The sequence below is a fragment of the Homo sapiens genome, chromosome 9 (genome assembly GCF_000001405.40).
Source record: "Homo sapiens chromosome 9, GRCh38.p14 Primary Assembly".
Lineage (NCBI taxonomy): Eukaryota > Metazoa > Chordata > Mammalia > Primates > Hominidae > Homo > Homo sapiens.
Window position 1 is genome coordinate 89,536,517 of NC_000009.12, and position 16,179 is coordinate 89,552,695.

Sequence of the window (16,179 nt, forward strand, 5' to 3'; positions counted from 1 at the left end):
TCTCTTCTTTCTCTTTTGTTTTTGCTTCTCTGTGTTTGCCTTTTACTTTTTTTTTCTTACAATGAATATATATATATGTAAAACCACACATATATACATATGTGTATATGCATGTTTTAAATAAGGAAAGCAATATAAGAAAAGACGTTTGGGAAATGTCTACTGTATATTGACTTATGCATGGTCCAGGACCTTATTAGTTACCTTATCTGATGTGTTCAACAGTTCTCTGAAAACTGGTAACTGTTCTTATCAGTGTGTAGGCTGAGGCTCACTGGCTTGAGCTGTCTGTCCCCAGGCAGCCAGCGTGTAGGTGGCGGGCCTCCTCTTCTGGTTGGGTTGTGTTGATTTCACTGCCCCTCCACCATGAAGGCAGGGTACAGCCTGGCAGCCTTTCCACCCTGACCCAGGACAGTGGGGAGAGCTCATCTCAGTTCTGTGATCATTTCTGCGCCTGATTTCCAATTAATCTGGAAGCCGAGTGCCCTGCAGGCTGTGCCTCCCCATATGGGCTTCAGAAGGCTCATGGAGTCTCCGTAGAGAACATCAGCAAGTGACCAGCGAGACCTTTGATGCAGGAAGGTGATGCTGATGGCCGCTGGGCCTTTGCTTTGGCTCAGTGTGCCTGCTGGAAGGGCGTCTGGGGACTGTTCCCAGTGAGGTGCCCAACCAGGAGAAAGCTCTTTAGAGTTGCTGCTATGTCAAGGGCAGGACAGGCCTTTGCAGAGTGCTGAGCCATAATCCAGGCGCTCCCTTGGCTTCCTGTCTTCAGAGCCCAGGAGAAGCCCGGGTAGTTTTGTTGTAAATAAGTGACATTTGATCAAGACCAGAAAGACACATGTCGTTGGGTTATGCCTGGCAACCAGATTCCTCCAGGCTGTTACTCAGGGCCGGCTGTTCTTTATTATGGGATTTATCATGTTGAGGGGGAAGAAAATGCAATTCCTGCTCTTCTGAAAGCACACAATGTGTTTCCATGCCCTGATGTCATTTATAATCTATGGCAGGAAAAATAACTTGGGCATACCTTTTTACTTGGTTCCTAACATTGCAGTGGCTCATGACCAAGATGGAAACTGGCTCTCAACCCTCGTGCTCAGAGCGTTCCACATGGACACCTGTTTTTGTCCTTGAACTATGAATTTCATAGTTAGTAGTGGCGTCTCAGAGCCCTCTGGGAGTGGTCATTAACAGGGATGGGCCATTTGGAACCAAATGAGACTATCTTGCTAAATTCAGCCAACATCAAGCACCAAGATGCACAGGACCTTGTGCAGGTAGCTGCAGGGACCTGACAGGAGCAGCCCCTCGCCTACAGCCATTGCGAGCCCAAGGGAGCTGGGACTCCTCAAGTAACCAGGAGCTGCCAGTTTGGGCCCAGGTTGGTTGCTGCTGTTATCTTGTGCCTGAGGGCCTTGCCTTCTCCTAGACGTGAAGCTCTTCGGAGGCAGAGGTCTTAGATTTTCCTGTCTCATCCCACAAGACACTTTCCTGAGTGTAGTAGGTGTGCAAAAACACCCTCAGCATCCCCACTCCCTGTACACACTGCTCCTTTTAAAGCAATCCCTGCTCCACGGCCCTGTGAGCCTGTTTGTTGGGCCCAGCCTGCAGGCACAGTGAGTCTGGTCTCTCCTGGCTAGTATTATTACACAGCATTGATGTAACACTGAGTGTCTGGCAGTAGCCTCCTGAGGAGTAGATTGACCTATAAAATAAGGGAAAACTGTCCTGAGACCCACCGGCAAGCCTGCAGCACTGCCTTCCTCATCCCTGGGGTAATGGGCTTTGCAGGCAGAGCTGAGCCTTGATCTCCTTTCCAGTCTCTTGGCAAATTCTGGAGCAATTGTCATTTCCAGTTCTTGGATCCTTAAATGGCAATGATGCTATATTTGCCGCAAGGAGGGCCCAGATGCATGCATGGGCCTATGTCTAGGTGCATACATGGGCCTGTGTTCAGGTGCATACGTGGGGCCTGTGTCCAGACACATATGTGGGCCTATGTCCAGGTGCGTACATAGGCCTGTGTCCAGATGCACACATGGACCTCTGTCCAGATGCATAGGTGGGCCTATGTCCAGATGCATATGTGGGCCTATGTCCAGCGGGGCTCCCTCTATGCAGACTCTCCCACTTAGGCTTGCTGGTCCCTTCTACACTCCAAAGGGTGAGTGTGAGGCCCCAAGAAGAGCAGGGCCCTGGTGGCAGGGAAAGCCTTAGGGGATGGGATCCTGTGGTGGGGAGCTGTGGTCAGAGATGGCTGAGTGACCGGGTGGATACTCTTTTAGGCTCCGTTCCACCAACTGGGGTGCTCCCTCGCATGCCTTTTGGGGAGCCTGAGCCTCAGTGTGTGCAGTGGGGTGATGGGCATGGGGGCGAGGGCTTCCCTGAGCGAGCGGGGAAGGTGCAGGGACCACCCGGTGTCTGCAGGTCACCAGCAGAGGGACGGGCTCTGTAATGACAAGCCCTTTTTGTTGGCAGGGCCCTGGCTTTCTAAGGTTCTTGGTGCCTCACAGCTGCTGAGGTTGAAGTGGGGTGTCAAGTGAGGCAGATGTTTACCTGGTAATGAAAGGCAGGTGGGTGGGGCAGGGTGGCTCCTGTCCCCGTCTTGCCTGCCAACGCCAGGCAGCTGCCTGTCCTTGTCACCTACCACCTTCCTTCCCTGGCTGCCTCTCCTTGCTCTGGTGGACCACAGGGGTGGGCATTGGCATGCAGGAGCTGGTGTCGTGGGGACAGAGGCTGGTTAGACAGCGTGCAGGGGAAGAAAGATGAGAAAGTGCTGTGTTGGTCTCCAGTCCTCTTAGCTGTTGGGGTTGAGCTAAGGCCTGAGGTCACTTTGAGGGGCCTCCATTGTCCCCTCGGTGAACCAGAAAGGATGATGTCTTAGAGGGAAGGGCAGTGCCACACAGCACCCTGCCCTGCTCAGGACCTGGGTCACCAGTTTCTCTCCCTCCTCTTTGCTCTGCCGTGGTCACTGCAATACCTCACCACCACGTTGCCCCTTAGAGTACATGCATGGTGCAGCCAGCGTGTGTGCACATGGGCATGTGTATGTGCCTGCATGTGCTGTGTGTCTGAGTTTGTGCATGTGTGTATGAGCACGCACACATGTGGGCCTGCGTCCATGTTTGCTCACATGTATGCATACACGTGTGTCGACATGCCTCTTCATGTATGCGTGTGTGTGTGCATGTCTGTGGGTATGTGTGCTTGCATATGTGTGCCTGTGTCTGTTGGGGAAGAGCTTGATTCTCCTTTTTCTGTGAAAACATAAACTTCATGTCCTCAAGCCTCCCAGGAGACTGAGTTCCCAGAGTGGCCCCTTGGCTGACACGTGCATCTCTAGGTACGTCTTGCCAGGCTCCCTCATTTGAGCTCTGAAAATGAGGTTTAAAGGACGGGACCCACATAAGGGCAGTGGCAGCACCCACAGCCCCTGCAGCGTGGGTGCCTGGGAGGGTGTCCTCTGCCCCAGCCCTACCCACGAGGGCTGCTTTCCCTGGGTCTTCCCTGGGGCTGCCTGACACATAGACAGCTCTGTTCAAATGCTCCTTGGGCATCCTGCACTGCCTGAGTTGATTTACTTAGTTTTTTTTTTTAAACTAATGTTTATTTTCACCAAGGTAATGGATGCACAGAGCTGAAAAAGCCAAATAGAACCAGAGACTTGGGAGGAGAACAAGCAGGCCCTGGCCCATTCCTGCAGTTTAACTCCTCCTGAGAATGAGCCTGAAGACACTCAGGGTGGCAGAGTGTGGCCACCGAGCTTAGTGTGGCTGGTTTCTGATTCTGTCTCTGGATCACAGTGTCCCTTCTGTGTCTGACTCACCTCCAACACCATGCTATGTCCATGCTGTAAGATTCACCCAGGTGCTCATGAGCATGGTCCATCCATTCTTATTGCCACATTGGATTCCATTCTGTAATATGCCATGTGCATGATATAAGTGTCACTTAAATATATAGATATGTATAATAATATATTTATGTATTATACAACACAATGTAATGATATAGCTGTGTAATATATCATATATTCTATATAATATATAATTTATTCATGCATATATTGTACATAATTTATATACATGGTTTATATATAATTAATAATATATAATTTACCTAATATGTGATTATATTTTTGTATTTCAATATATCTTATCTATTCTACTGAGGGTGGAATTTGAATTGCTTCAGTTTGTAGCGATTATGTGCAGTTGTACTCTGAACAGCCTCGTACAAGTCTTTTACAAGAAATTTATTATAAGGAACTGGCTTGCACAATTATGGGGGTTGATAAATCCCACAATCTGTCATCTGCAAGCTGGTGACCCAGGAAAGCTGATGGTATGGTTTGAGGGCCTGAGAGCTGATGGTTTAGATTCCAGAAGGAATTTCAGAAGATTCTGAAGGCCTGAGAACCAGGAGCACTGAGAACAGGAAAAGATTGATGTCCCAGCTCAAGCAGGCAGAGCAAATTCAACCTTCCTCCACCTTTTTGTTCCATTTGGGCTTTCAATGGATTGGATGCTGCCCACCCACACTGGGGAGGGCCACCTGCATTCCTCAGTCCACCAATTTAAATACTCTTCCAGACACCCTCACAGACACACCTGGAAATAATGCCTGACCACATATCTGGGCACCCTGAGGTTCAGTCAAGTGGACCCATAAAAATACCCATTGCACTATCCAAATATTTTGCCCATTTTTCTATTAGCATGTCTGCCCTTTTCTTACTGACTTGCAGGAGTTCTTCACATATTTGAATCCATGTCCTTGCTTGGGTATAGGTAGGTTTTTATCTTTTTGTCCTGTATGCTTATTTTAGGGACATTTGGAGAGGGAGCCCATGGTTATCCTACGACTTTTTAACTGGAAGTCTGTCTTAACACTCTAATATTTTGAGAGCCCCCCTTCACACCTGCCAACCTTGACGCCACAGAAGGGAGAGGCTGTGGATTCCTTTCTTGGCTAGAGTTGTCTTGCTTCTCTCGGAGGAGGTCATCTTACCCTTTCCCATCTCTCACTGTGCAGGGGGTGGCTGCTGCCTTTGCCCCTGGAGCCCATCTTCCCAGACACCTGAAGACCCCCTGCTTGACAGCAGACCCTGCTGGAGGCGAGCCCTGCCTTCTTCTCACCCGATGGTATGAATGTGAGGAGGGACTTCCTGAATGCCCTTACCGTGGCCCGGAGACAAGACTGGGGTCAATTACTCACATACTTAAACAAACAGGTCATTTCAAAGGCTCTTTGATTTGTGGTCTCATTTCTTTCTATACAGCCCAGCAAACCAATGTTGCTGGTCCCCCTCCCCAAATCCCTGCAACCTGCCTGGGTTCTACAGCTGCAGCAGGTGGGCAGCATCGCATCTCAGCACAGCAGCAGTCTCTTTGCTTGAGAGCTTTTCTGGTCCCCGGGGACGTCCCATGCAGGCTGGTGTGACAGGGAAGTGCAGGGCAGTTGGCTACCCTGGGCAGGCTGCTTGTCACCCACAGGGACAATTCAGTGGAGTTCTCCATGCAGGTCCTCAGAGCATCTGTGGTGGGACTGAGGCCAATCACCCACAGTCACCTGCCCATGAATGCATCCTGGAAGCCATTCACCTCTCCCTGGCTCAGCCCCCTAATCCCTCACTTGTGCTTCTTGGACCCACCTTCCAAAAAGCTACCTGCATCAGGGCCTGCTTTTGGAGGATTGCAGACTAAGACACCTGTTTCATTCCAGGAAGGATTTAAGGAAGTTCACAAAATATGTGTAACACATAATTTGTCATGAGGCAATACGGAGAAAACCATGGACTTGTGTTTTGATATCCTTCTCTCAAATTACAGCTACATACGGCCAACACTTCTCCAGATCCGCAAAAAATGTGTGAATGCATGTGTGTGATAGTGAAGAATTTTTTTTAAAAGTCAGCTGAAAAGCTCTTTCAGTAGTGAAGATGGGGACAGAAGGCTCAGTTGGCCCTGTTTGATGTGTGTGTTTCCAGCGTGTCTGGAGATGGAGAGAGAAACGGGCACAAATCCATCCTAAGTGAAGAGACAATTCTATTGTTGCTGTAAGCCTTGAGGGCCCCAAGAGCTAGACAGTGCTGGCCTGTGCTCTGCGATGTGTGTGACAGCCACTGTCCCTGCTCTGAAAGCAGAGCTGATGGGGGCTGTGAGTCAGGTGACAGGCTGGCTGCACTGCTCAGACCTCAACCTGCCCCAGCCTCCCAGGGCACCTGCTAAGGCCAAGCCATTAATACTTGTGCTTGTTAAAACGGGGACCAGACAGGATGCAGGTGTACAGGGCGTGACAGGCTCCCACTATTGCTGGCCGCCCATCTCAGGCAGCACTTGCTCCTGTTCATGCACTGGAAAACACACTGTGCCTGGAAATCCCTCTGCATGCCTCAGCCAGCCGAAGAGGCGTTGGAGCCCTCAGGCCTTGCTATAAAAATCCCCGTGGAGGCGGCACGTCTGCCTGCCTTCCTGTCCTCAGCAACCAAAATGGCACAACACAGAGGATGATCACGCAGTGTGGACAAGTCTGTTTCTCCCCTGACAGATTTCCCTGTGTCAGGACAGATGCCAACATGCGGCCAATACACTTTTAGGTCAGGTACCTTGGAATGAAAATACAGCTGCCAGATCCTCTGGAGAAGGGGTGGGGGCAGGGCCACCTGGGATGGCGAGCCACACGGGACGGTCCTGAGAGAGGCCGGGAGTGCTGATGGTCGTCAGGGAGCAGCAACTCCCAGAGTGGAGCTGTCACGCCCCCTGGTCCTCCCATGGTGAGGAGATTGTTCAGTCGAGGAATAAAAACCTATGCATGTATGCACACACAGAGACTCCATACCAACTGCAGCAGCTGCTCCCCATAGAAATGGGTTGGCAGTGAGCCGGAAGGGCCAATGTTCACTTTTCCTGTGGGCACGCTTCTGCATTATTTGAAAGCTTTCTCCATAAAGAACATAGAGCTTCTGCCTCTGATAGTGGTGGATGCAGTAATTTAGATCAACTGTCCTACAGAGGAGAACTAGAAAAGCTCACACAATATAAAATACGGTGTGCTGCTCCAGGGCATCAGAAAGTGATCAGGTTGGTGAAAAATCACCCAGCCAAGGTCTGGAAGAAGGTTGGAACCCAGGAAGCTCATCTAGCCCTTGGATCTGCTTTTCCACCGTGGCCTTGAATCCTGGAGTCAGCAGTAACCAGACCTGGTCGAAGGCTGGTGGGTGCAGAAAAAGAACTCCAAAAGTTCACTAAGTCAAGGGTCCGCTCCACGCCTGCAACCCAGCTCTCTGTCGCCTGCGCGGCCCGGACCATCGCAGTCCCTGAAACTGAACCAAGGCCAGCACAGAGGCACAGACAAGTCCTCTCTTCAGGAAAGTGTTATTATCTTCGGCCTCTGAGCGTGTCTACAAGCAGGTTTTCAAGTAATACCCAGGGCACAGTTAAAGACACACAGGCACAGCAGGCAGGACTGAGGGGGAGATTCTTGGAGGACAGGATGGGAGGGAGCTGCAGAGGAGACAGCAGGCGGCCTGCCCATGGACTCAACTGATATCACCAAGAGAATATGCTCTTGGCTGGGCCATGGCACATGGGGACATTGAGGGCAGTCAGCCACCTGGAGCTCCTCAGGGACTGAGAGCTTCTTTCCCCACTTCTGGCCAATCACATGCCCTTTGATCTCACCGAAGAGAGCATGAACAACGGAACTGCTACAGCCTATGAACATTTGAAGAAATTTTCAAGATGGAGAAAGCTCAGGGTTGCTGCTGAAGGCAATACCTGTGTTCCAAAAAACCCTTGGGAGAGCGAGTTGATGAGTCGGAGAGGGTGGCCCCTTGGCATGTGAGTGTAGAGTAACACTTCCTGCTGAAAGCACGGAGCATTCTCATGGAGCCTGTGAGGGCAGGCATTCGACAGGGTCTGCCAACCTCCTAAGCCAGCCAGGCTCCCAGCACACCTGGACACATTAGCATATTAACCAAGGAGGGAAAAGAGACAGGGCTGGGCTGCTCCTCACCAGTGCAGAAGGGATTGCCACAGCTGCAGGGACAGAGCCCAGCCTGCCCCCAGCCCTGCCCCCTTCCTACCTGCCTCCCTCTCCAGATCACACAGCTGGAGACACCTGCGCTCTGGTCATAGCTTTAGTGCACTTAGGAAGCATGCATGTGAGTCTGTGTCTTGGAGAACACATCCAAAGTACCTTTTAAAGGTGATTGTACAGGTTATGTCCTGTCCCAGTGACATGCAGTCGTGAGAGCGTCCTCAACTGTTTTGTTCACTGATATACTCTAAATCCCTTGAACTCTACCTGGCTCATAGTGAGAGGTTGAATAAATGAATGAATCAATGAATAAATACATCTGCACTATCAGCCTAGATTTTGTTTTGTTTTGTTTTGTCTTTACCTCTGATTCAATGTTACTCCAACAGTGTAGCCTTTTGGGGTTCCAGTCCAAAGCACATATTTACTAACTTACATTTATGTGTATTAAAACATATTATTAATTTATATTTACTAATTAAACTCTATTATCTCTTCATGTGGGTGTTTTTCTGCCATCACAGACCCCCAATATTTAAAACATTAAGATTTGATTTGGAGACTTTCTGACAATGCTACACTAAGTAATTCAACCCAGTTCTTCTGCTGAAGGCAAATAGGAAAGCTGGAAAAGGTATGTTTTAAAGTTTGCTTGAAAGCATCAGAAAGCTAGCCAGGATGTGAAGAATTCCACGACTGAGATGCAAGAGAAGACAGAAGTTCAGAGACATGAGCCTGGAACTTGGGTCACTTTTGCTATGGAGATGGCTGAGTGTTCCAGCAATGCATTTGACATCCTGGAAGAATGTGGGGGGAGTTTGGAGTGCCAGAGCCTGGGGGTACCCATGGTGATCTCCTGTGCTTTGGACTGGAACCCTAAAAGGCCACACTGTTGGAGTAACATTGAATCAGAGGTAAAGACAAAACAAAACAAAACAAAACAAAAACAAAGCCCACTTTAAATAGACTGTGGCCTGGTGTTGAAACATCTGGGGGCTCAGAAACTCTCAAGTTTTGAAAAAAAAAGTTAGGTAATTCCAGGTTGCTTCTTGGCCAGGAGACTTACAGAAGTCATGAAAATTTTTTAGGCCTCAAAGTATTTCTAGAAATAACTTCAAATACAATGTCTGGAATAGAAATTAGTCAAACACAGGAGGAGACAAGGTAACATTAATAAGAACAAGCAGAAACAACCCAATATAGAAATAGACCTACAGGGGATACAAACATTAGAATTAGAATATGCATCCTTACCTTCAACCAAAGGCTTTGCATGCCTGTACATGGCATCCTGGAAAGACAGTCCACATAAAGTGATGGTGTGCCACATCACATAAAGTATAAGATGTGAATATAGTATCATTCCATCTACCTTAACCCTGCTGTCTCTTGTGCTATTGCAATCACTTATTTTGCTGTTGCAAACTTCTGTAGAGCGTTTATTTTATTTTTCTTTTTTCATTTTCCTCTTCTGCTTCTTATTTATTTATTTTTTAAGAGACAGGGTCTTGCGTTGTTGCCCAGGCTGGAGTGCAGTGGTGCAATCACAGTTCACTGCAGGCTCAAACTTCTGGCCTTAAGCAGTCCTCTTGCCTTAGCCTCCCGAGTAGCTGGCACCACAGGCACACTCCACTGCTCCTGGCTATTTTATTTTATTTTTGAAGAGATGGGGTCTTGTCCTTTTGTCCAAAGTGGTCTCGGATTCCTGGCCTCAAGTGATCTTCCTGCCTCAGTCCCCCAAAGTCCCGGGATTACAGGTGTGAGTCACTGTGCTCGTTCCTCTCCTTTCTTTCTGTCTTTTTAAACCTGTCTTTTCTTTCTTTCTCTTTCTTTCTTTCTTTCTTTCTTTCTTTCTTTCTTTCTTTCTTTCTTTCTTTCTTTCTTTCTTTCTTTCCTTCTTTCCTTCTTTCTTTCTTTCTTTCTTTTTTTTCTATCTCTTTCTTTCTTTCTTTCTTTTTCTTGCCTTCTTTACTCCTCCTCTCTTCCGAATATGTCAGTCTACTCTTCTTTATTTCCTAGAAAACATAGTCAGTCATGTCACCACAGCCATTGCCGTCTCAAGATTTTATTGGCCAGACAAGTTCCCAAGCGTTTCCATGAAATATCAGCTTTCAGATTATTTATCCCCAGAGAGATGGTTGCTTACTTATTTTAACTCTTCTTCAGTATATTTTCTGTCTGATTTTCTAAATCATGTTTTGATATTCCTAAATATGATTTTGCCATCCGTATTCATGGAGCACCTCCTTCTTGGGTATCACTTCAGTTAAAATCAATGGGGAGTTTCCCTTCCCATGTTTGTATCCTTGTTAAAAAGTATATTTTAAATAGATCATAATCACTTTATAATTTATAATTACAATCATCTTATAATTTGCACATGCCTTCCTTTGCTTTGACTTGACAAGTACATTACGAATAATATTATGAATAATGAAGCCATGAACATTCATGTACAAATATTTGTGTGGATGAATGTTTTTATTTTTTTGGGATAGATTCCCAGGAGTGAAATTTCTGGCTCATACAGTAAGTTTATATTTAACTTTTCAGAGAAACTACCAAACTGTTTTCCAAAGTGACTGCACCAATTTGCATTCTCATCAGCAATGTGCGATGTTTCTAGTTGCCCCATATCCTCACCAACACTTGTTATTGTATATCTTTTTAAAAAAGTTACATATGTTTCTTTTTTATATTTTAAATTGTTACAGATGCCAGTCTTTTTCAGGGTTACACTTTAAAAGGAACTATGATGTCAGTTTCTTCTATAGCAAGGGAAATCTAAACAATGATTTCCCTATGTAATGCATTTTTTTTTTTTTTGAGATGGAGTTTTGTTCTTGTTGCTCAGGCTGGAGTGCAATGGCACAATCTCGGCTCACTGCAACCTCTGCCTCCCAGGTTCAAGTGATTCTCTTGCCTCAGTCTCCTGAGTAGCTGGGATTACAGGCACCTGCCACCATGCCCAACTAATTTTTTGTATTTTTAGTAGATACGGGATTTCACCATGTTGGTCAGGCTGGTCTCAAACTCTTGATCTCAGGTGATCCACTTGCCTTGGCCTCCTAAAGTGCTGGGATTACAGGAATGAACCACCGTGCCTGGCCCGTAATGCATTGTTATCTCAGGTTCTAGTAACTTTCATGAATGCTTATTTCCCTTAAAATATAAAGGAAAATTAAATATTTATTTTCCATCCTCTACCCAATGCTTGGAAAATAATTTGAACTCAGAGCCAAGTAAACGTTGGCTTTGTTCTTTGAGCCTTGTGGTTGTGTGTGCCACTGGGCTTTTGGAGATGATGAAAGTATCATGGAACCATCAGCCAAGTCCTTGCAATCCCTTGCTCTTGAAGCTCACCAAGTCATTTTGCACATAGGGGCTGAGCAAGGCTGTTCTCTGTGTTAATTTTTCAGGGGGTTCTTCACTGAGTAGTTTGCTCTGGGACCTTTATTCCCAGCTTTAGAGCTACTTTCAGGGACATCTGACTGCCCCAAACAGTAAACAACTGGACCAGTTCCTAGAAGGCTGGTCTCCATGCAGAGACGTGGGTGTCCACTGGTTCACCAACCTGGCTATTCCCAGCTCCCACGGGCTCTTCTGCTTCTGCTCAGCACCCTTTGGCCTGCTTGGTCATAGTGTCCTTGAAAACACTGAATTTTTCCACTGTGCAGAATGGAATTTTTCATTTTGTGTTGTTCCTCTTCACTGACTATTTTGCCACCTGACTGGAAGAATTAGACATGAAGGAAAAGAACTCCCCTCGTCAGATGACTTTCCCTGTCACTGTGTCTTGCTGAGCTGTATCTCCAGGACACATGGGTGTCTCATCGCGGTCTGCACGGCGCAGGGTGGAGCAGTCATGAATAGGCATGTTTGACTTTATGAGCTGATGCTTATTTCAGCAAAGTCGTTGCAGAGACCAGGCAGACAGACATAAATGAGGCAAGAGGCTTTTAAATGCAGGTGCTGAATCTGAGTTGCTGCATGAGCACCTTTCCCGAGTGTAATAGGGTGGCCTGAAGAAACAGCACATTCTCCTCCATGAGCTCCTGCAGAGCCTTTTCTTTTTAAAAAAAAAATACAGCTCACAGGCCAGGTGCAGTGGCTCACGCCTATAATCCCTGCACCTTGGGAAGCTGAGGCGGGCGGATCACTTGAGGCCAGGAGTTTGAGACCAGCCTGGCCAAGATGGCAAAACCTTGTCTCTACTAAAAGCAGAAAAATTAGCTGGGTGTGGGGTGGTGCATGCCTGTAGTCCCAGCTACTCAGGAGGCTGAGGCAGGAGACTCACTTGAACCTAGGAGGTGGAGGCTGCGGTGAGCCGAGATCATGCCATTGCCCTCCAGCCTGGGTGACAGAGTGAAACCCTGTCTCCTCACAAAAAATAATGAATAAAAAAATACACAGCTCACATATCATTACCATCCATTTCAAAAAACCAATCCACTTAAACTGTCCAAGTGGATTTCTAAAATAATTAAATATTTATGTAGGTATTTTTACTTCTTTCTGTTGTGAAATATGCTACCTATTCAGAAAAGCTCAGAAAACATATGAGTTATGGCTTAGTTAATTGTTATAAACCAAACCTTCATATAAACACCACTCAGTTCAGGAAATTGCATGTGGCCAGCCTCGAGAGCTCTCCTGCTCTCTGGTGCCCCCTGCCTGTCGAGCTCCTCATCCCCCTCCAGCTGCTCAGCTGGGAACGGTCATCCCCTCCCACTTCCCTTATTACCCTACCCTCTCAGCACCATCTCTAAACACTACTATTTAGTTTTGCCCATTTTGCTGTCTTCATAGTCTCTTTCGATACATACAACTTTTCATTTCAATGTAGTATTTATGAGAAATATTTATTTCTCAGTATTTTCTTTGATGGTTAGAATTTTTTACATCCAGATTAAGAAGTCTTTGCCGAGTCTCAAAGACATTCTACATTACTTTCTAAAAGTAACCCAAAGCTCTAGGGTTTTGCCTTTTACAAATAGATTCTCAGTGTACCTGGAATTGTGGGAGGCAGTGGCCAAGGGTCATATCTGATCTCAGTGTTTCCACAGGACTCCTTGGAAAGACCCCACCACTTTGTGGGACCACCTTCCTCGGAAATCAACTATCATATTTTTGTGATATCATTCTGGGTGTTCTAGTCTGTTCCATTGGCTGATTTTCTTTTTTATCCTTGAGCCAATATCACATTGGATTAATTCTTGAGCGTATATCATAAATTGATGTCCACTAGAACAAGTCCTCCAACCTTGTTGAATGTCCTGGCTCTTCCATTTTCATGTATTTTAGAATCAGCTTGTCAAGTTTCACACACACACATGACACACACACACACATAATGGAAATTTAACTGGAATCACACCGAATTTATGAATGAACTTCTAGAGAATTGACATGTTTATAACATTGAAGTTTTTCATCCGTAGACATGGTATAGCTCTTCATTTATTTAGGTCTTTTGAAAATTTCTTAATGTTGTTTTATGTTTTGCTGTATAGACTCTTGCACATCTTTCATCAAGTTTATTCCCAAGCATTTGATATTTTTGGTATAATCATAAATGATATATTTTAAAATAATTCTCTCTTTGTTGCTAGTATGAAGATGTATAACTGATTTCTGAATTTTGATGTTTATCTGGGAAACTTGCTACACGTACTTTCAAATTCTAACAATTTTCCCATCGACCCTCTTGGATTTTCATCCTAGGCAATCGTACTACTCACGTTACTGATTGTTTCATTTCTTCTTTTCCAATCCTTGCACCCTTTATTCCTTTTCTTGCCATTCTCTGGCTATGGGCTTCTGCACAGTGCTGATCACCAGTGCCAAGAGTGGCATCCGTCTTCCTCCCAATCCCAGAAGAAAGGATTTCAACATTTTACCATTAAATACACATTTATGATTACCCTTTATCAGTTAAAGGAACTGTCCTACTTCCACTTTTCTACGATTTCTAAAAAAAAAAAAAAACATGATGCAAACTGAAGAGAATCACAAGGTTCATCAATTTGGAAAGGAGAGCTTTATTTCTCATAAAGGGTTGCAGCCCGTAGATCGGCCATCCTGCAGGCTGGGAAGCACAGCCTTCACACCGAGAGCAAGTGCTTGGAGGGAGGGAAGAGTAAGTCAGGAATTCATGCTGAACCGGCTGGCTAAGTATGCATATTCAGCACGCTATGGGAGGAGTCACGAATATTCATGAAAGGTAAAAATACACAGTTGAGCTTCACACCTCTTCACTGGTCACATATTTAAAATGGGCAGTGTTAGCACCATCCAAGGATGGAGTTTTAGGTTCTCTGATGTCTAAAGGTGAAATGGAGAACAAAAAAACTCTCACTGAGAGTTCTCCGTAAATTGACCCAAATTAGTCAAGAGATGGTGGTCAGTTTTCAGAAAGGGATGTTTGTCAGCTGTGTCGAACGCACAAAAGCAAGAGATCATTTGATTGAGGCCTGAGGTGATTGGCTAATGATTGTCTGTTTCTTGTTTTCCAGAGCTGGTTTCTGCTTATTCCTTAGGAAATAATTCTGGTTAAAGATTAATAAGGAAGGGGGCATACTCAGGTGGGTCTGACCTCTCATCCCGTCATGGCCGGAAACTCAGTTTTTTTTTTTTTTTTTGAGATGGAGTCTTGCTCTGTCGCCCAGGCTGGAGTGCAGTGGTGTGATCTCGGCTCACTGCAAGCTCTGTCTCCCGGGTTCATGCCATTCTCCTGCCTCAGCCTCCGGAGTAGCTGGGACTACAGGTCCCACCACCACGCCCAGCTGATTTTTTGTATTTTTAGTAGAGACAGAGTTTCACCATGTTAGCCAGGATGGTCTCAATCTCCTGACCTCGCGATCCACCGGCCTCGGCCTCCCAAAGTGCTGGGATTACAGGTGTGAGCCACCGCACCCGGCCCTCAGCTTTTACACACACACACACACACACACACACACACACACACACCCCATTCCCCCCACCCCCCACCCCACGCACACACAGGAAATTTGACTGGAATCACATTGAATTTACAGATCAACTTCTAGATAATTGACATCTTTATAACACTGAAGTTTTTAACCCTGGGGTCCCCTTGGCCAAGAAAGGGTCCATTCACTCAGTTGTGGGGCTTAGGATTTTATTTTTATTTCTCAATGAATAGCTGGAACTTTATCAAATACTTTTCTGCCTTTATTAAAATGATTTTATATAATTAAAAATTATTTATCTGTTTAATATGGCAATATACTTTGATTTTTCAATATTCAACCAACTTTGCATTCTTGGAATAAGTTCAATTTAGTTATGATCTGTTATCCCTGTTTTATAAATTGCTGGATTCAGGTTGCTAATATGTTATTGGGGATTTTATGCCTTTGTTTGTAAGAGAGATCAGCCTGCAATTTTCCTTTCTCTTCACATTCTTGTTGGGTTCAGGGATTACAATCATGCAGGCCATATGAATTGAGTGGGAACTGTTTCCTCTATTACCACTTTCTGGAAGAATTTATCTCTTAAGGAGTAATCTTTGTGGGAGGGTTTTGAATTATATATTTCATTTCTTTATCAGGTAAAGGGCTATTCATGTATTCTATTTGTGTGTGTGGGTCAGTTTTGGTAGATTTTGTTTCTCCTAGGACTGTGTCTTTTTTTTTTTTTTTTTGAGACAGAATCTTGCTCTGTCACCCAGGCTGGAGTGCAGTGGCGTGATCGCCACTCACTGCAACTTTTGCCTTTGGGGTTCAAGCAATTCTCTGCCTCAGCCTCCTGAGTAGCTGGGATTACAGGCACTTGCCACCATGCCCAGCTAATTTCTTTTTTTTGTATTTTTAGAAGAGATAGGGTTTCACCGTGTTGACCAGGCTGGTCTTGAACTCCTGACCTTGTGATCCACCCTCCTCAGCCTCCCAAAGTGCTGGGATTACAGGCATGAGCCACTGTGCCCAGCAGGATTGTGTCTTTTATCTCTGACTTCAAATTCAGGGGAATAAAGCTGTTTGAAAGATCTTTTTATCAACTTCTCACTGGTTGTGGGCCGGAGAACGCTCTGCCAGGCGGTCTTCTCCGTGGACAGTTCACTGCACAGCTTGTTCTGCAAGGCCACCTGGAGGAGCTTCCTGATGATGTGAGCCGGAG

The 16,179-nt window shown here is 46.0% G+C and overlaps 9 annotated features.

The window, feature by feature from the left end:
• Positions 2,539-2,708: an enhancer, noted in NCBI's record as "experimental_108670 CRE fragment used in MPRA reporter constructs". NCBI's record gives its function as "activates a minimal promoter by MPRAs in K562 erythroleukemia cells, with activity observed for the non-introgressed 9:92154055 or rs62558383 variant allele {active_cell/tissue: K562}" and the evidence as "EXISTENCE:reporter gene assay evidence [ECO:0000049][PMID:34662402]".
• Position 2,624: a transcriptional cis regulatory region, noted in NCBI's record as "Neanderthal adaptively introgressed variant 9:92154055 (GRCh37/hg19 assembly coordinates) or rs62558383 in the experimental_108670 CRE". NCBI's record gives its function as "modulates activity of the experimental_108670 enhancer by MPRAs in K562 erythroleukemia cells {active_cell/tissue: K562}" and the evidence as "EXISTENCE:reporter gene assay evidence [ECO:0000049][PMID:34662402]".
• Positions 3,076-3,245: an enhancer, noted in NCBI's record as "experimental_108676 CRE fragment used in MPRA reporter constructs". NCBI's record gives its function as "activates a minimal promoter by MPRAs in K562 erythroleukemia cells, with activity observed for the introgressed 9:92154592 variant allele {active_cell/tissue: K562}" and the evidence as "EXISTENCE:reporter gene assay evidence [ECO:0000049][PMID:34662402]".
• Positions 5,380-5,429: an enhancer, noted in NCBI's record as "active region_28550". NCBI's record gives its function as "activates an Ori minimal core promoter by ATAC-STARR-seq in GM12878 lymphoblastoid cells {active_cell/tissue: GM12878}" and the evidence as "EXISTENCE:reporter gene assay evidence [ECO:0000049][PMID:35858748]".
• Positions 5,460-5,509: an enhancer, noted in NCBI's record as "active region_28551". NCBI's record gives its function as "activates an Ori minimal core promoter by ATAC-STARR-seq in GM12878 lymphoblastoid cells {active_cell/tissue: GM12878}" and the evidence as "EXISTENCE:reporter gene assay evidence [ECO:0000049][PMID:35858748]".
• Positions 6,015-6,074: an enhancer, noted in NCBI's record as "active region_28552". NCBI's record gives its function as "activates an Ori minimal core promoter by ATAC-STARR-seq in GM12878 lymphoblastoid cells {active_cell/tissue: GM12878}" and the evidence as "EXISTENCE:reporter gene assay evidence [ECO:0000049][PMID:35858748]".
• Positions 6,185-6,324: a silencer, noted in NCBI's record as "silent region_20015". NCBI's record gives its function as "represses an Ori minimal core promoter by ATAC-STARR-seq in GM12878 lymphoblastoid cells {active_cell/tissue: GM12878}" and the evidence as "EXISTENCE:reporter gene assay evidence [ECO:0000049][PMID:35858748]".
• Positions 6,505-6,574: an enhancer, noted in NCBI's record as "active region_28553". NCBI's record gives its function as "activates an Ori minimal core promoter by ATAC-STARR-seq in GM12878 lymphoblastoid cells {active_cell/tissue: GM12878}" and the evidence as "EXISTENCE:reporter gene assay evidence [ECO:0000049][PMID:35858748]".
• Positions 13,407-13,576: an enhancer, noted in NCBI's record as "experimental_108683 CRE fragment used in MPRA reporter constructs". NCBI's record gives its function as "activates a minimal promoter by MPRAs in K562 erythroleukemia cells, with activity observed for both the introgressed and non-introgressed 9:92164923 variant alleles {active_cell/tissue: K562}" and the evidence as "EXISTENCE:reporter gene assay evidence [ECO:0000049][PMID:34662402]".